The sequence below is a fragment of the Homo sapiens genome, chromosome 1 (assembly GCF_000001405.40).
Source record: "Homo sapiens chromosome 1, GRCh38.p14 Primary Assembly".
In the NCBI taxonomy this organism is placed as follows: Eukaryota; Metazoa; Chordata; class Mammalia; order Primates; family Hominidae; genus Homo; species Homo sapiens.
Window position 1 is genome coordinate 44,589,360 of NC_000001.11, and position 19,804 is coordinate 44,609,163.

Below are 19,804 nucleotides of genomic sequence, written 5' to 3' on the forward strand. Positions count from 1 at the left end.
ATCCCAGCACTTTGGGAGGCCGAGGTGGGCGGATCATGAGGTCAGGAGATCGAGACCATCCTGGCTAACATGGTGAAACCCCGTCTCTACTAAAAATACGAAAAATTAGCCAAGCGTGGTGACGGGCGCCTGTAGTCCCAGCTACTCGGGAGGCTGAGGCGGGAGAATGGCGTGAACCCAGGAGGAGGAGCTTGCAGTGAGCTGAGATCATGCCACTGCACTCCAGCCTGGGTGACAGAGCGAGACTGCATCTCAAAAAAAAAAAAAAAAAGGAATATCCACCTCCTAAAGGTGGAGTCATAACAGTCTTGACCTCACTTAGGTTTCACAGGATTCCCAGGTCATAGGAATTACTGTCTCCATTTTACATGGAAAAACTGGCTTAAGGAGGCAAAATCCTCATCCCTTGTGTCTTATATTTCTGTCTCTACCAATAGTTAATTTAATATATGTTTATAAACAACACCTAAGCTGGGACTACAAAGAATATGATGATTCCTTGACTCAAGGTGCTCGTGGTCTGGGGGTATGAGGCAGGGAGAAGGGGTGCACACAATCAGCTGGTTTAAGTTAAGGCTGCACGGGAGGTGAGCAGGCTCTGGACCCTGGTGCAAATTAAGATGCAAAACGCTACAGGAAAAATGGGTGAAGGTCATGGGCCCAAGGCAAAGCCAGATATGGGGATGGACAGGGCACAGTGGGGCTGATGTGTGTGGTTCTGTGGCAGTGCGGATGCTGGCCCAGGTATGGTCTTCAGAGCATGCGTTTTCTGTGATGATCCCTGAGCCAAGGAGCAGGCTGGTACCAGGATTCACAGGTGTGGTTTAGGACATCCCAGCTCATCCACTCAGCATGTTAGAAGGACCAGCCTTCCAGGCAATCACTCATATGAGGCCCTTTGGTGAGCTGGGCAGCCCAAGCCCTGCTGGGCAAGGAAAGTCCGGGGAGGGGCTGAAATCCTTCCTCCATCCAACTTTGCTACTACTGTGTCCCCCTGCTCCCAAGCTTGTGGTCCTGTGCTCTCCATGATCTCAGTATTCTCCATCCTTCACGGGGCTTCCTCTCAGTGGTACTTTCCCAGCCTGCAGGAGCCCCATGCTTCCTCAGAGCTCTCATGGCTCAACAGTGGCTTTATATGTAGGGCCCTGAATACATCCTGCTTTAGGCTAGGTCTTGCATTGAACTAAACTTGGGTGATTCTCTGCTGTGTCCGGTTCCCCGCTCCCCAGAATGTTTGCCCCTGGCAGGCTCTGTTCTTTCAGTCCAGCTCCATGCCCAGTGCTATTACTCAGGAGGCCATGGGGAGTGGATGCCGCTGATACCAGAGATGATGAATAGGAAGCGGGGGGGCCAGGGAGGATTCATTCACCTTCCACTAATTCATTCATTTGATGTCACTCACTGTGCCAGGCCCTGTTAAAGAAATAGACAAGTAAAAGTGTAATCACAATTAGGGAAGTCTTGGGGGCTAGAGGACACACAATCTAGCCAGATGCTTCTGATAGTACTGCCTCCTAGAAGAGTTAACCTTGAAGCTGAGCCCTGGAAGATAGTTTTCCAGGCAGAGGGAACAGCATGGTTTTTGTTTTGTTTTGTTTTTTGCTGTTTGGTTTTTCTTTGAGATGGAGTTTCGCTCTTATCACCCAGGCTGGAGTGCAGTGGCATGATCTCAGCTCACTGCAACCTCCGCCTCCTAGGTTCAAGCGATTCTCCTGCCTCAGCCTCCCGAGTAACTGGGATTACAGGCACCCACCACGCCATTTTTATATTTTTGGTAGAGACAAGGTTTCACCATGTTGGCCAGGCAGGTCTCGAACTCCTGACCTCAGATGATCTGTCCACCTCCGCCTCCCAAAATGCTGGGATTACAGGCATGAGCCACTGCACCCAGCCAGGAACAACATGTTTAAAGACCCATTTGAGAAACCAAAAGAATTCAGTGGGACCAAGACAATGGTGTGCAAGGTGAGAGGCAGCAAGAGAGGAGGCTGGCAGGTCACCTATCGTCCATGCGCAATGCCCTTGCAGGCCTTGCTAAGGAATCTAAGTCCTTTCAAGTCCCAGAGCCATTATGCACTTGCAGTGGGACTTAGGTATCTTGCTTGACTTCTCTGAGTCTTGGTTTTATTCTTACTAAGTGAGGTCAGTAATTCCAGCTACGTCCGCCATGTCTAAGGATCCAACTGCCTTGTGCTGGGCCAGTCCCTGGCTTATTAGGGTGTGGTTAGAGGCATGGCCAGAGCGTGAACTTCTGCAAAGGAATATTCTAGTCACAAGCCACAATTTCCTGTCTAAATATTGAGGGGGCAACAACATGGTCTATAAGTCCTCCCGGCTCTGAAATGCCCGCAGAAAGAAGGCCCATGGGAGGCCCCACTCACCTTTAGAGCCTGGACCCTCTCACTCCTCTGTCCTCCTCCTCCTCCAGCCATACTAGTCCTGCTGGGCTGCCTCTGGGCCTTTGTCTTAATTTTCACTCCACTCTTCCTTCTCTTGCCATCTGACACTCCAGACTTCTCTCCTCCAGGAAGCCCTCTCCACCTCCGAGCCCTGACCTCCTCCTCCTCCTCCTTACTCCTCACTTCATCCTCACAGTGGTATCTTAGGTGCTCAAGCCGTCCCCCATCCTGTGAGCTTCTGAGCCTGGGCCTCACTCCTTACTCCACACCCCCAGAGGACTGGCCCACAATCTTTGAGGGTGTTCCAGGACTAAGTTTGGAAAAGGACATGATAAAAATGAAAGGAATGAGAGAAGAAGGAAGGGAGAAACAGACCAACAGACAGAGAGAGAGAGGGCGAGGGAAGGCTCTGCCTCAAGCCAACCCAGCCTCAGTCGTGGTATACTTCCCCGAATTCCTTCCCGCAGCACCACTCTGTGCTTAGAACCAAGAGCTAGGAGAGCAAGGGAGCCTGGGACTGGCACTTTTCAGCTAGGGGGAGCTGGTGGTGGCAGGGCAGAGAGGCCCATTGCGCAGCTGGTAACAGGCTGTGCCTGGCCAGGCCTCCCAGCTGCCCCTCTGTCTCAGGCCCTTATTGCACACAACATCCAGCCCAGCCCCCTACGCAGCTGCCTTCCTCATGACACAGCCCTGTGTTGTCCTGTTGGCCACTGACCACTGTGCCTGGGGAAGGGCCAGGCCTTCCTGGGAGGAGGAACTCGAGAGCCTGTGGGCTCCCAGGTTGGCAGCCCCCGCCCTCTGCACTCCCAGGCCCATACCTGCTCTGTGATTCCCCGCTTGGGGCAGGAAGGCATGCTGAGAGCCACTCTGCAAGTCCCTGTGCTTCAGGTGGTACACGCTCCTCTCATTCATTTGTTAAAGCAAGGTGGGGGTGAGTATTATCATCCTCAGTCTCTAGGTGGGGAAAAGAAGACTCGGATGGGTTACAGCAGTTGCCCAAAGACACATGGCTAGCCATGCTTCCAGGTGCTTTCAAGACCAGGTCTCCCCGAGGCCAAAGCTCATGTTCTGCCCTCCCAGCTCTTTGCCTAACTCCTGTTCCCTATGACAGCCCAGCCCTGGCCCTCGCATTCTGCCTACAATGGAGCCACCAGGATAGGACGCAGGGAGTGGGAGTAGAGGGGGATGCCATGTGGAGAGAAATGAGGATATAAGCTTGAGGAGAGAGGAAGGAGTTTTTGATGGGGGGGATGGGCCCAGAGCTGCCATGGTGTCTCTACAGCTCTCTCTTTTGGTCACAGAAGCCCAGCAGGCAGACACAGAACAGATCCAGGAGCAGACCATACCCAATCTTCTCTCCCAACACAGGCCCAAGCCTGAGCCAGCCCACAGGGACCCACCAGTTTGTTTGGCAAAGCCCTTTTCCCTGTTCCATCCCATGCCCTAGACCCGCAGAGGGCAGCAAGAGATGAGACCCACTGTCCTATCACAGTCCTGATAAGGATTTCTTTGACCAGATGTTTTCAGTGTAGGAGTCAGAACACAGCATCGGACTATTAGGAGCCCAAAGTTTCATTTTTAAGCTTTCGACCAACATGACCTCAGGCAACTTTTACCTTTCCCTATCTAAAGAAATTTTTCATATCTAAAGTGCTAAATATCACAAGATATCAATAATAATAACAGGCCAGGGTGGTGCCTCATGTCTGTAATCCCAGCATTTTGGGAGGCCAAGGCAAGAGGATCGCTTGAGCCCAAGAGTTGAAGACCAGCCTGGGCAACATAGTGAGAGCCTGTTTCTACAAAAAATAAAAACTACCTGGGCATGGTGGCACAGGCCTGTATCCCAGCTCCTCAGGAGGCTGAGGTAAGATGATCATCTGAGCTCAAGAGTTCGAGGGTTCAGTGAGCTAGGATCGCCACTGCACCAGCCTGGGTGACAGAGTGAGACCCTGTCTCAAAAAAATTTTTAAATGATATAAAATAAAATAATTGCACTCTTAAAAATCACAAAATATGAGACTTAAAAGGGATAAACTCTTGGCCGGGCATGGTGGCTCACGCCTATAATCCCAGCACTTTGGGAGGCCAAGGCGTGGGTGGATCATTTGAGGTCAGGAGTTCAAGACCAGCCTGGCCAACATGGTGAAACCCTGACTCTACTAAAAATACAAAAATTAGCCGGGCATGGTGGTGGGCACCTGTAATCCCAGCTACTTGGGAGGCTGAGGCAGGAGAATCGCTTGAGCCTGGGAGGCGGAGGTTGCAGTGAGCTGAGATGGCACCACTGTACTCCAGCCTGGGTGACAGAGTGAGACCCCATCTCAAAAGAAAAAAAAAAAAGGGATAAACTCTTATAGTCCAGCTTGAATAACAACCTACCACCCCTGCAGGAATCCGCTTCTGCACTACCCAGAAGGGCCAGGCAGTGGACAGAAAAAGAAAAGTGAAAGGCCCCCAAGAGAAACTTTGATTTGAAAAGAAAAGCCCTGGAGGGCGCTTTGCCTCCCCCCCTCCCTCCTTGTTACTTCATTCCCTCCTCCTCCTTTCACTCCCTCCATCCTACCCCCTTCACCTGCACTTGGGACTGGGCTAATGGACATGCTTCCTCCCAGCCTTCCCCACGTCCCAGGAAGTGGAGCCCATCGGGCAGAGCAGAGCCGTACGGGGTAAGGCAGAGACAGAACTTTCCCCAACAGAAATGGCCTTGCAGGGAGAGTCTGGGAGAGCAGGGAGAGCCTGTTCTCAACTAGACTGCCAAATTGCTCTTTTCCTTTGTCTGGAGCAATGCCTGAGCTCCCTTGCTGAGTTCTGTAAGAGCCTGATCCAGGCATGTGTCCCCAGACCCTATTGCCCCACCGCCCTGGCTCAGGCTGGTATCCAGAAGAAGGTATGGCAGAGGACCAGGAAGGTTATCAGAGAGGCTAAGGGGGCATTCGGTCTTGGGACAGGACTGAAGCAATCAATAGCCCATTGGGAACTGGGGTTAATTTGGGGAATTTGGATTGGATTGGATTGAAGTTTAGGACTTGGGCTAGGAGGTAGGGCTGGGTTGGTTCAAAGTACTGGAGTTAGGTTTAGGTTCAGAGCTTCTCTAGAAACTGCCCAACTCATGCTGGTCTAGCTAAGCCCATCTCCAAAAAAAGAGGGGGCTCTACCCTTGGCCTCTGATTCGGGGCTTTATTTAAAGACATAGGAGTGAGGGTGAAGATTGGCTTTGGAAGACAGCAGAGCCAGTGCCTCCCCACTATGGAGCCGTTTAGTTAGGACCTTGCCACTCAAAGAGCATCCACAGACCCGCAGCACTGGTCTCACCTAGGAGCTTGGTAGAAATGCAAAATCTAGGATCCACTCTAGAGCTGCTGAATCAGAATCTGCGTTTTAGATTAACCTCCAAGTGTTCCATGGACACTTAAAGAAAGTGTGAGAAGCCTGGTGAAGGCTCTGAGTGAAGGAAGGCCCGAGGTAGGGGTGGGAGGCCAAAGGGCACCCAACACCTCGGCCGGCTCCGGGGCCCCTGCCTAACACCCCCTCCCAGTGCTGGAGCCACAGCGACACCTACTGGCCACGGACACCTAGGCCACCCCCTCCAGGACGCCCGGGCCCTGTGGTCCATCTGGCCCAGCCAGTCCTGCACCCTGAAGCTGGCATTCCTGAGTTCTGGGAATCTGGCTCCCCGGGACAGACTAGGGGAGCAGGTACAGGATGGGCCAGGGCTCAGTGCACAGCAGGGTTGTGTGCAGGCTGGGGCTCTGGGGCCTCAGTGTGAAGAAGACAGGATCAGTAAGCAGGTGTTTTCTCAGGGACATGATGCTCAGATCACATCCCCAGCCCTGGCATTCTCTCCAGACTCAGCAATACTGAGCACGTGTTTGTCTGCTCTCTTCACTGAAACCCTCAGCCAGAATGGACAGGGTACAGCTTTCCATTCCAACCAGCATCAAGCAGATGCCCTGTGAGGAACAGAGATTTTTATTTTACTTTTTATTTTATTATTTTATTTTTATTTATTTTTTATTTTTTGAGATGGAGTCTCGCTCTGTCGCCCAGGCTGGAGTGCAGTGGCGCAATCTCAGCTCACTGCAAGCTCCACCTCCCGGGTTCACGCCATCCTCCCACCTCAGCCTCCCGAGTAGCTGGGACTACAGGCGCCCGCCACCACGCCCGGCTAATTTTTTTGTATTTTTAGTAGAGACGGGGTTTTGCCGTGTTAGCCAGGATGGTCTCGATCTCCTGACCTCATGATCCGCCCATCTCAGCCTCCCAAAGTGCTGGGATTACGGGCGTGCGCCGCCATGCCTGGCCGATGAGCAAAGATTTTTGAACCTATGTCTAAATGACTCTTCTGGAAATGGACTTTTAGGAAGGACAACAACTAAAAAGCAACTCAAGGAAGGGGAGCAGGTAGGATATTTCTGGGATATTTCCACTGTAGTGGTTTCTGGAGACTCCCATGAAAGAATTCTAAGTCAAAAGGGGAGACTGAGGCCAAAGGGCAGAGAAGTAAAAAGACAGAGAAGGGGCTGGGTGCGGTGGCTCATGCCTGTAATCCCAGCACTTTGGGAGGCTGAGGCAGGTGGATCACCTGAGGTCAGGAGTCAGAGACCAGCCTGGCCAATATGGTGAAACCCTGTCTCTACTAAAAATACAATAATTAGCTGGGTGTGGTGGCAGGTACCTGTAATCCCAGCTACTCGGGAGGCTGAGGCAGGAGAATCACTTGAACTCGAGAGGCGGAGGTGGCAGTGAGCCCTCGTGCCATTGCACTCCAACCTGGGGGACAAGAGCAAGATTCTGTCTCCAAAAAAAAAAAAATAGTACAGTGCTTTGCACAGAGTAAGCATTTGATTAGTGTTACCACTTCCCTCAGTCACAAAAAAAATAAATAAAGGAAAAACGATAGGGAAGGAAGCCGACCCACTTCCAAGGCAAGGCTCAGCTGACCCATCCCAAGGGACCTGGCTGGCCCAGGGAGGAGAGAAGGGCCTCTTTCTAGGCAGCAGTGAGCCTCCCCTCCCATCATTCCCAAATGCCAGTTATTGCTGGATCCCTTCCCTCTAGTCCGCTCTCAACTATGAGGAGTTTGCCCAAGAACTAAATGAATGTGATTGCCCACCAGTGTTTGCCATTAGTGGTGATTAGTTAAAACATCAGAGTCTAAACAGTCAATTGGTTCTAATAATTAATACTATGGCTCAGCTGTGATTGAGAGAGAACAAGCGAGTGGGAGAGAGGAAGGGAGGAGGATAAGGGACATGGAAAAAGAAGAGAGAAAGGGATTGGCAGAGGAGCTGCAGCTCTGTAGCTACCATTTCCTGACCCACATGCCAGATGCTGTGCTATAGAGTGCATCCAGCTCCAAATTCTGTGCTCTTTCGAGACATTTTATGTAAGTTATACCACCAAGGTATCCTAATCACCCTGTTAGGCAAGTATAATTATTATCTTCTTTTTATAGGTAAGACAAAGGAGGCACAGGAAGGTAAAAGCTAGCAGATGCTCCGTAATAATTTGGTGAATGAATGGATAAATAAATGAATGAAGTAGCCAGAAGTGAAATTCAAACCCAGGTTAGCATGGCTCCAAAAACTTTGGGGGGAAAAGGGGCAAGGAGGGGAGAATTTGAAGAGACAAAGGAAAACAAGACAGAAAACGTACATCCTTCTCTGTCTCAACATACATACACGCCCTTCTCTCTCTCTCTCTCATGCACACACACACACACACACACACACACACACACACACACACACGAACCTCCCTCACCTCCCTCTCTCACGCTGTGCCCCTCCCTCCCATCCACACCTCTCACGTTCTTTTCATACACAACATGTCTGTTATGCACCCCTTTCTCTCATCTCCCCTCACACACCCACTCTTGCACACACACCGTTTCTCACGAATGTCTCCCAGATGGCTCCGGCACACACGCACCTCTCTGTCTCATAGAAGCCTCTCACATGCACATATTCACCCCTCTCTCAGCCACACTTTTTTATTTCTCCTTGCACACTTCTTGGTCTTTCTCACTCTTACATGGACCTCTTTCTCTCATGTACACGCCTCCTCTTCCCGGCGCCCTTGTCTGTCTTCCTCAGTGCGCTATCTCCAGTCTCAAAGACAGTTTGGGAAATGAAATAAACATACACCCGTCTACCTCCTTCACATACAACCCCCCACTGTCTCCTCACACCCCACCCCACCCACCTCTCTCTCTCTCTCTCTCTCGTTCTCTCTCGAACACAGGTGTACACTTTGGGACATATCCTGAAACCAGCCCCCTCATGCCCCCTGCCCGCCCCCTCCAAGAGTCAGGCCTCCAGATGTGCTCTCTCTGGCTAGGCTTGCTAATCTTTGAACTGTCCCCAGATCTTGAATGGTCATGTGGACTTTCCTGCCTGGTGATGGGGAGGGGGAAACAGGGAGGGGGCTAAGCCCAGAGTCCTCAGTTATTCTGGAGCAGGTTCAGCTCCTCCCCACCCCTCCCCAGGTCATGAGCAGCAGCAGGAGCTGCAAGCGAGCAAGATGGCTGTGTGTGTATTGCTATTAATCACCCCTCCTGGTCCGCTAACGAGGCTAATGCGGTAAGTGACAATAGCCCATCTTGGTTCCTGATTTAGGGGCTCAGGACGGAAGCTGGGCTCCTGGGAGTGAAGACGTGAATTCTCCACGACACTAAACCTTCAAATAAATCTCCTCCAGTCAGAGAAGCCCAGGGCACTAAATCCCACACGCCGGTAATTGAAACCCTTAGAGCTTTCTTGGGTAGGGAAATTGCTGAGTGAGAGAGAGAAAGCGTGCAGCCCAGGGGTTCCGGGTGGGGCTTGGGCCCACAGAGAGGCCTGCCGAGGGCTCTGGGATAGGGGAGCTGCTGGGGACCCTCTAGGAGCACGTGACTGGCCATATGTCCTGGTGTGCATGTCTGTCAGTGTTTCTAGGCATGGGATTTTGCTGTCTGGTTATGTTCACATGGTCACTGGTCACCCATTTCCCACCAGGTCTATGACCACTTGATATTTTGGTAAGGAGAGCAGTTCTGGAGCTTCTGTATTTCGAGAGCTTCTACCCTTTGACACCCTTAGGGCCTCTGACTCTCACTGACCATGAAGCAAGGCTTCATTTAAGCAAAAGAAGGTTTCGGCATTGCCTCAATTGCCTTCCTTCCCCTATCCCCACCTCTCTCACCCTCACACTTCCCCCACCCCATCTCTCTTTTTTTCCAGACATTCTCCTGCAGGCCTTTCACTCCCATTCACTTAGTCCCTGAATCATTTAACAGTTACTAATACCCACCCTATGCCAGACTGTATGCCTAGGGTCTTGAGTGTTCCAGGATGAATCAGAGAATCTCTCTGCCCTCAAGAAGCTCAGCATCAGCTACTCTGGGCACACTGCCTACGGGGTAGCCCTGCTCCACAAGGAGCAGTAAAAAAATTAAATAAATAAATAAAACAAAGAGCTCAGAATCTCCCAGACAAGACAGATAAATAAATAATTGCAATATTATATGATGTATGCAATAATCGACATATAGACATATGTGGAACATAGCATGAAAAAGAGAGTAGTTAATTATTAGGGAAGGCTTCAAAGAGGAAGCATTGTCTGAGTGTGGTCTTCAAGAATAAATAGGGTCAGGCGCGGTGGCTCACATCTGTAATCCCAGCACTTTGGGAGGCCGAGGTGGACGGACTGCTTGAGCTCAAGAGTTCAAGACCAGCCTGGGCAACATGACACAACCCTATCTCTACAAAAAGTTAGCTGGGCATGGTGGTGTGTGCCTGTAGCTACCCAGGAGGCTGAGGTGAGAGTATCACTGAGCCCAGCAGTGGAAATTGCAGTGAGCTGTGATTGTGCTACTGACTCCAGCCTGGGCAAAAGAGTGAGACCCAGTCTCAAAATAAAAAAGGAATAAATCACAGTTAAAAGTTGCCCATGGGGAGATGATGGCATGGTCATGAGCATTATTGGCAGTGAGAATACCAGATGAAGAGCTACATTTTGTCCAGCCAGAGCACACACTATTGCAAGATGGGATAGGAGGCTGGAGAGGGGCATGTATGATAAAGAGTTCAGAATGTATGCTGTGGCTTTAGGAACCAGGGAAGGATCTTAAGCAGCTGAATGATAGGATCTGATTTGTGTTTTAGGAAGATCCTTGTAACTGTAGGGATGGAATAGATTAGAGGGGAGAGAGATACATGAGGAGACCTAAGAGTAGGGACTGAATATGAAGATGCCTAAACTAGGGCAATGAAGAAAAGAAGATGATTCTGACCAGTACTTAGGAGGTAAAAACAGGGAAGATGTTGACTTACTGGATGTAGGGACTGGAGTAAAGAGTAAAAATTAAGATTGTCAATTTAGGGAGGTCTCTGGATAGTGGTACCATTCACTGAAACCAAAAGCAGGAGGAGGGCAGGTCTAGAGGAAGGTAAGTCCCATCTCAGACATGTTGAGCTTAAAGAGCCTATGGGACATCCAAGCAGAGCATCTTCTACGCAGTGTTGTACGTGGCTCAGATTGGAGGTACAGGCTGAGGGAATGAAACCAGAGTTTCAGAGATCACACATAGAGTGTGGAGAGAGGGAGAAGTGAATGATGACAAGGGCAATAGCTAACATCAGAGGCAGCAGAATAGCGTGACTAAGAGCATGCATGGGGCTGTGGTATTACATAAGTCCCACACAGCCACTTACCTCGTAACCATGGGCAAACTAAGAACTTCTCTACGCCTCTGTTTCCTTACTTATAAAATAGGGATTAAATAGTACAGTGCTGGCCGGGCACAGTGGCTCACTCCTGTAATCCCAGCACTTTGGGAGGCCGAGGTGGATGGATCACCTGAGGTCAGGAGTTGGAGACCAGCCTGGCCAACACGATGAAACTCCGTCTCTATTAAAAATACAAAAATTAGACAGATGTGGTGGCACACACCTGCAGTCCCAGCTACTCGGGAGGCTGAGGCAGGAGAATCACTTGAACCCGGGAGGCAGAGGTTGCAGTGAGCTGAGATAGCGCCATTGCACTCCAGCCTGGGCAACAAGAGCAAGACTCTGTCTCAAAAAAAAAAAAAGTACAGTGCTTGCCACAGAGTAAGCATTTGATTAGTGTTACCACTTCCCTTCTTCCTCATCTCTTCAACAAGTACTTATCTATCACACCTCAGCTTGTGTCTCTAGGTTTCTCTGAACAAGGCAAATATCTATATTACAGGCTCCCACAGCACTGTTGACCTCTTTTTGGTACAATTGCAATTTTACAATTGTACAAGTATGTTATTGCATCTGTTCTCTCACTAGACTGTTAGCTCCATAAGGACATGGATCTCATTGTATCCCTAGACCCCGGTATATTGCCTAGCACATGGAAGGCACTCAACAAATATTTATTGGGCTAATAAATAAATATAACTGGAGTATCTATTGTGGATGATCACCAAGGACCTCACTGAGAGTAGTTACCATAGAATGGTGGGGATGAAACTCAGGTTGCGATGAGTTAAGAAGTGGTTAGGAGGTAAAAAAGTATGGGCAGCAAGCAAGAGTCTTTGGAGCATCTTAGGTGAGAAGAGAAGGAGAAGAAAAGGCCATTAGTAAAAGGGTGCCATATGGAAGAGAGAGCTGGGTTGTTGATGCTGATGTTGCTGTAATATGGGAAAGACGTGGGAGTTGATATGCTGATGGAGGAAAGCATGAGGAAGGGAAGGAGAAGATGCAGTAGAGAGGGAGAACTTGACAGTTTTCCCAGGGAACATAGGCAGGATTGGTATCAAAGCCCAGGAGAAGTGATTAGGCTAAAGTAGGAGGATGCCTGTTCCACTGAAACTGGAGGGAACAGGGAGGTGAGAGTAGATCCACAAGCTGAGGAAATTCATGCCTAAGGACTAAATTTCAGAGTGAAGGAGGAAGCAAGGCCACCTAGCAGAGAGAGGGGGACAGGAGATGGCGAGGCGGCTCAAGATAGTAAAATATTATTGAATTGTCTCTGTGGGAAAGAGGAGACGGAGCTGACCAAGAGCATGCAAAAGGATTGTTTAGTGGTGCTGAGATTGGAAACTGTGAATTTTTATTGGCACATATCTGCATGGTTTTGTGATTTTCCCCAGCTGTGCTTAGCCGCCTGAGTGTCTGAGACAAAAAGGAGAATAGTTGGGTTGTGGAGAAGGCAAAGGAAGTAAGAAGTTGAGTGTGTTGGCAAGATGGTGTTGAAGGTGCACAAGGGACCCAGGCTAGCATCCATGAGTGCGTGGTGGCTTGGGAGTTGGGAGAAGGGAAGAGGGAGGAGCAAGTTAAATGGATACAAGTCTTTGAGAGGGCTTGGGGGAGAGGGAGTTCCGTCACGGGTTCTACTTAGGTTGATGACAAGGATCTCCAGGAGGAAGTCAAGAACAGGAAAAAAAATAATAGGAGCTGAGGAGGTCAGGACAGTGATGGGCTTCGGGGAGAGAGGCAAGTGTGAAAGTCCTGGGTGAGTGTAGAGAATGGTAGGTAACTGACAAGGTGGGCTGTAGCATGGTACTTGACCTCAAAGAGTCCAGAGGGTGGAGAAGCAATGAGCTGGAAGACACTGAGTCCACTGCCTGGCCTGAGGAGCATGGAGTTGGGAGAATAAACAGCCTGCAGTGGAGAGGACAGCAACTGAGTGGCAGCATCTCCAGGTTCCGGGGAAAGTGAGTAGAGAGAGTAAAGGGAGTATCTAGAGACTGCGGATGGAGAGGAGTTTATTGGCATGGTCCTCTGTCCCAGAGGTCATGCTGGGAAGGTAGTGGAGAGACATCAGTCGGAGCTACCTCCACCACTACCCTCTGTCCACTGCATCCCTCCCAGAACTGCCTGCATCTCTAGCCTGCCTTCCCCAACTTGATGTCCCTCCTCCTTCACTGACTCCCGACTCCACCCCACACACACATACCGCTCATCTCATCCATCCATCCATTCCTCTTCTTCCCACACTCCTCCTTAGTTCTCTCCTCTCCAGACCCTTCCCCTGCCCTGCCCCACCCCATCCGGCCTGAGTGAGCAGGAACCCCTGCACCTTCATTTCTCAGGTCACTGCTTGGCTAATGGGCTATTAATTTGCTCAATCGTCCCCTGTGAGGCAAACTCAATTTCTGCCAGCCAGTCGTCCCTCCCTGTCGACAGCGTGATTGATTGGAGGAACAGCTGTCACCGCCCGGCTGCCTGCTCCCTGCCTCCTTCTCTCCGAGTCCACACCACCCCTCCTCCTCCTCCTCGGGCCGCCACCCTGCGCCCATAGAGGCAGCACACCCCTGCCACCTGCCCAAGGATCTGTCACCAGCAATGAAAAATGACAGAAATATTTAAGGACAAATAAGGTTTCCCAACGCAATTGAAAATGATTACAGGCAGCTACAGATGGGGCCAATCTGATGCGCAGCAGCAAATCAAATCGAATTTCCTTATCGGCGTATTATTTTAGGCGTTATCTGGCACGTTGATGCAGTTATCAATTCAATTTCAGCCGCCGGTCCGCTGTTTACTGTCTCGCCTTTGCTGGGAAAAGGTAAACATGCTCAGCCCAGCAAATTAATTTCTGGCTGAAGCCAGAGGCTGCAAAGAACTGCTACCCAGGACCCACTGCCCCCACCTTGGCCCCGGGCTACGGTGGGCCAGGCCAGCAGGGCCTGGGGCAGGCCAGAGCTCACCCAGGGAGCAGAAGCCCCACTATTTGCCTGCCCAAGTCTGGGCCCAGACCCAAGCAGGATTCAGAGCTCCTGGGAGGCTGAGGTGACCATTGTTGGCTCCGCCGCTGCTGCCAGGGAGAGGTGAAGGTCTCCCATTAATTCCCAGCTAAAAATGACAAATTCATCTTGGACGACAATTAAATGAAGTCAGTAATTGATGCTAATTGATCTCCAGATGCAAGGGCTCCCCTCAGCCTTAGCAGCACGTGGCTGGCTGCTCACTCTCCCCACCCAGCCCTTTTCTTCCTCTACCTCCCTCTGCTGCTCTCATAGTCCTTGTTCCCTCCCTAGGGTTCTGGGTCTCTTAACCCCTCAGGTGTGAGGGAGGCAGCTGGCCTGGGATGTGCTAGCAGGCAGCGCCTGAGGCCAGGCAGCTGGCCCATTGCCCATCCAGCCCTGCAGGCACTTGTAATCAGTGCCCCACGGTCCACCCATCAGCCTAGAAAGCAGGTAACACTGCCCTCCTTGGCAGCTCAGGATTTATTGCCCACAGCTGCGGAGGTTCCCACTTCATTTTTATAAGCCCATCGTCAGAACCAGCAGGGGGTAAAGCACACTTGAAGTTACTTTCCTTTAAACAGTACAGTCTTAGCATTTTGGCTGCATGGCAAGGAAGGCATGAGAGAGAGTGAAGTGTGTGTGCAGGCTAGGGAGAATAGGCAGGTATAGTGATAGGTGCTCAGGTGTTTGTCTAAATGCAAAAAAATACCCACACCGTGTGAGCACTTGTGTGTGCCAGTGCCAGCACAAGCATGTGTGTGTCCAGACACTTGAGAGGATGCATGTGCAGGTCCACATGTGGATATTTTCCAGAATCAGGCCCTTCACTGTAGTCTGTGAAGCCTAATCCCAGGGAACTCTGGGAGGCCCTGCCTGCCCCACCCTCCACTGGCCCAGCCCAACCCAGGGAGATGTCTGGAAGTTATTAGCTAAAGGAGAGAAACTGAATTGTAGCTCCACAAGAGGACAGAGGCTGTAGTTATGTTTGAAATAGCCAAGGTCATGGGTGTGAAACAGCTGTGGCCCCTGAAGCCCCGCCAGTCTCTGAACAGGTTGGCTGGTGCCTTTGGCCGGAGCAAAGGCTCATGGGGTCAAGGGTTTAGCTTCTATGACCAAGACTCAGTGAGCTTGCTTGTGCCTTGGCCTGGAGCCTTTGGCTCCAGCTTGAGCCCAAGTCTGAGCCTAAACCTGTCCATAGACTGACTTCACCTGGCTGTCTTGCAGATGTTTGCCACTGGCCACCCAGGAGCCATGTCTGGCTCAATCCAGGCACCTTCTATTGCTAGAGATGGTAAATAGCATGCATCACCATAGGAGTCAGGCTCTTGTACCTGGAGCTGGCAGGAGGCCATGTGGAATGGGCAGTGCCAACCTTGAGTTTCTGCAGGCAGAATGGAGGGAGAAGGAAAGATGGCAAGGGTATGTAGCCATGAATGTTTCACACCTGTGTATTATATCTAGGTATGTGTGTCACATGTAAGGAACCTCATGCTGTGTGAGAGGGTCTATACATGTCTTACAGAAAGAAGAGGAACAGATAAAAGCATATATAGGGGCCGGGCGCGGTGGCTCATGCCTGTAATCCCAGCACTTTGGGAGGCTGAGGTGGTGGATCACGAGGTCAGGAGATCGAGACCATCCTGGCCAACATGGTGAAACCTCGTCTCTACTAAAAATACAAAAATTACCCGAGTGTGGTGGTGGGCACCTATAGTCCCAGCTTCTCAGGAGGCTGAGGCAGGATAATCACTTGAACGCAGGAGGCAGAGGTTGCAGTGAGCTGAGATCACACCACTGCACTCCAGCCTGTGACAGAGTGAGACTCCGTCTCAAAAAAAAAAAAAAAAGAAAAGAAAAGCATATATAGAAGGATAGCTGACCAGACTAGACCAGAGTCAGGGTGGGACAAGGAATCAGAGAAAAACCCCATGGCATCTCCCAGCTGGCATCTGCCTCTTTGGGGATTTAGCGAGGTCAGTGATTACTTATTCATTGATTCAAACAATATTTATTGATTTCTACTATTACTATGACTATTTTCTCACTTTGGGCTATGCATTCTGCTACATGCTGGGGCTATAGCAGGGAACAAGTTAATTTTTGCCCTCAATAAATTTATAATCTAAAGAAGGTGATAGAATCATAACAGGCAATAATGACACTGTGACAAGGGCTGTGATAGAAGTAGCACAAGAGGCTTCGGGAACACAGAGGAGGCACCCAATACAGTCTGGAGGAGTCTGGGAAGGCCACGTGGAAGAAGGAACCCTAGGTTGCATCCTAAAGGATGAGGAAGAGTTAGCCAGGTTGTGCAACTAGCCCCTGTCCTATCCTTTTTGGTTGTTTAGCAAGCCCAAAGCAGAAACAAATAGGCCTATTGGGTTCCAAGTGACTCTGGAACTGCTGAAAATGTCACCTCTGCCCCACGGGCACCGGCCACTACCCTGGGGTCTGGGCAAGAGGGTGCACAGCTGTTCCCAGGACATCCCTGGGCACCAGAAGAAAGCATGGGCCACAGCTAAATACATATCTCTCCCCTGCCCGCCCTACCCCTACCTCCTCAACCAGGGATGCCTATTAATCCTGACAAATGATGACTTACGAACATGTAATGCAAACTGATTCATCATACATTCAAATCCGCTGCCCCGCCCCAGCGGGAGGCCCCAGCCAGACAAGTGTATTACACGGATAATGTATTTGACGTATTAATAAAACCAGCCGCATTGCTCTGGCCCGGAGACTGGGGAATGCCAATATACGATGACAGATCACATATTGATGAAATCCAGATGTTTGGAATCATAGTCTTGGGGCCTCGTTCATATTGACTGAAGGTAAAAAATGCCATCTGTCAGCATGTTAACTCTTGCTGTCCCATACTCAGCAGAGGCGCCAATCATAGTTTTAAGAGAAGGAGGAAGGGACTGAGTGAGGGGAGAGTGGATGAGTAATTAGGTGGTTTGGATGGATGACAGGTGGATGAACTGGAGGGTAGATGGTTGTGCTATGTATAAGATGAGTGGATGGGATGCTTTTCATGCCTTATGTCCTTGACCTCTCAACAGCATTTGACCTTACTGAGGACAGTAGAGTCCTTGCAACTCTTCCTTTCTTGGCTTCAATGACATCACACTTTCCTTGTTTTCATTCTACCTCTTGGCTGTTCCTTCTTAGTCCTTGATGCCTTAAACTTCCTCTAACTGTAAACGAAGGTTCTGTTCCAGACACTCTTCCTAGTGTATTCTCTCTCCCTAGGTGATCTTGCCTACTCTGAACTTCATTCATTTATTTATTCAATAAATATTTATTGAGCATTTACCACATGCCAGACATTGTTCCAGGCACAGAGGACACAGTGGTGAGCTTCGGTGCTCTATGTCAATGTCTCCCGGGTCTAGAACTCTAGCTCTGGCTCACATAGAGTGCCTACTCAGCATTTTCACATGAATGTCTAATAGTTCCTCAAGCTAAGTACATCCAAAACTCAACTCATTTTCTTCCTTACCAAGCTTGCTGCTCCTCCTCCCATTCCATAAATCAGTCAATGTTCTACCACCTAGAGGTTGCTCAAGCGAGAAACCTTAGAGTCATCCTTAACTCTTTTCTGTCCCTTAACTTCCACGTCCAATCCATCTGCCTCTGTTCATCTCCGGCATCGTCATGCTAGAGCAAGCCGCCATCGTCTCTCCCCTGAGTTAGTGAGATAACCTCCTAAACAGCCTTCCTGCACTTGCTCTTGCCCCTTAGACCACTGGCTACTTTGCAGTTAGAATAATCTTTTTTAAATACAAGTCTGATATATCACTCTCCTGTTTAAAACTCTCTGATGGCTTCTCATTGTATGTTTAAAAAAAATAACCAAAATCACTAATGTAGTTTAAAAGTCCTCCAGGATGCACCCTCTCTATCATCATACCTCAGCACTCTGCCCCTCACTCTCTGTGCTCCAGCCACATTGGACTCTTTCCAGTTCCTCACTTAGGCTCTTTCTCCTGTATACCTTCAAATGTGCTGTTTTCTTTTTTTTTTTTTTTTTGAGACGGAGTCTCGCTTTGTCACCCAGGCTGGAGTGCAGTGGTGCAATCTCAGCTCACTGCAAGCTCCGCCTCCTGGGTTCATGCCAGTCTCCTTGCCTCAGCCTCCCGAGTAGCTGGGACTACAGGCGCCCGCCACCACGCCCAGCTAATTTTTTTTGTATTTTTAGTAGAGACGGGGTTTCACTGTGTTAGCCAGGATGGTCTCGATCTCCTGACCTCGTGATCCGCCCGCCTCGGCCTCCCAAAGTGCTGGGATTACAGGCATAAGCCACCACGCCCGGCCAAATGTGCTGTTTTCTATCTAGAGCACCACTTCCCCCAATCACTGTTTGACTGGTTCCCACGCATCCTTCAGCCTTCGCTGAATGTCACTTCCTTCACCTTCCAGACCAGATGATATACTCCCCTAGTTCTGTGTACTTTTTTTTTTTTTTTTAAGACAGGGTCTCACTCTGTAGGCCAGGCTGGAGTGCAGTGGTGCGATCATAGCTCACTGCAGCCTCAAACTCCTGGGCTCAAGCGATCCTCCTGCCTCAGCCTCCCAAGTCGCTGGGACTACAGGCACATGCCACCACAGCTGGCTAATTTTTTAATTTTTTTGTAGAGATAGGGTCTAACTGTGTTGCCCAGGCTGGTCTCAAACTCCTGGCCTTAAGCAGTCCTCCCACCTCGGCCTCTCGAAGTGCTAGGATTACAGGTTTGAGCCACCACACCGGCCCCATGTACTTTTCTTTTCCTAAGACCACTCTGGGGACAATCGTTTCATGTTTCTATCCATTGTTAGGTCCTAAGCTCCCTGAGGGCAGAGAGTGCGCCTGTCTTCATTATTGTCTGGCATCTGTGCTATAGCGACCCCTAATGGGCATCCAGTAAACATCTGTGGAGTCATATTGAATCATTAGCTAGGTGAGTGGGTAGGTAGGTAGGTAGTTGGGTATTGTTCAGGTCTGGATTCAGACAGAACTGGATTTAAATCCCTGCTCTGAACTTTGTAGCTGTCACCACATTGTTCTGAGCCCCATTTTCCTCATCAGTGTGATAGAGACAGTAACACCTACCTCACAGAACTGCTGTAAGGATTAATGAGATAAAGTATGTGTAGTATTGACCTACAGCCAAATATATAATGATACTTGATAGACAGTTGTTGTTATTACAAATGGACAGATAATGGATAGATGATAGGTAGATGGACAGATGGATAAACCGACATATAAACCAATAACCAGATATATGGGTAATGATGGATAGGAAGAAGGAACTCCATGGGGGCCAGAGGAGCTAGGGCCAGGGCACCTACTGAGTGGTAAAAGATCTGGATCATAGAAGGGAAGAAGGCCAGATATAGGCAAGGCAGGGCAGGTGTCAGGATGGGGCAGATATAGGCACAAACAACAAACTTTGCTAGTGTGTTACTGGAGGCACTAATGACTCCTCACTTGTACACAGCCCTGATTTCACTGGATCTTCACAGAAGTCTTGGGAGTTAGATATCATTATCCCCATTTCACACAAGGAGAAATGAAGCTCAATAACGTTAAGTGATTTGCCCAAGGTCACACAGCTAGCAAGAGGCAGCTCTGTTGAATTCTGCTTGAAGTTCCTGTTTCTTGGTCACTAGGAAATGGAAGTCTTTCCATTGCAGGGGTTGGGGTAGG

General features: G+C 49.9%; 1 protein-coding gene across 15 annotated transcripts in view, besides 1 other annotated feature; it reads left to right on the forward strand.

Moving 5' to 3' along the window:
* RNF220 (ring finger protein 220) overlaps positions 1-19,804 on the forward strand; it is a 246,942-nt gene that overhangs the window by 184,577 nt on the left and 42,561 nt on the right. The window lies entirely within an intron of this gene.
* Positions 5,884-6,055: a silencer, noted in NCBI's record as "fragment chr1:45060915-45061086 (GRCh37/hg19 assembly coordinates)". NCBI's record gives its function as "represses an EF-1alpha promoter that drives an FKBP-Casp9 reporter gene in an ReSE screen in phorbol 12-myristate 13-acetate-treated (for megakaryocytic differentiation) K562 erythroleukemia cells {active_cell/tissue: K562(+PMA)}" and the evidence as "EXISTENCE:reporter gene assay evidence [ECO:0000049][PMID:32094911]".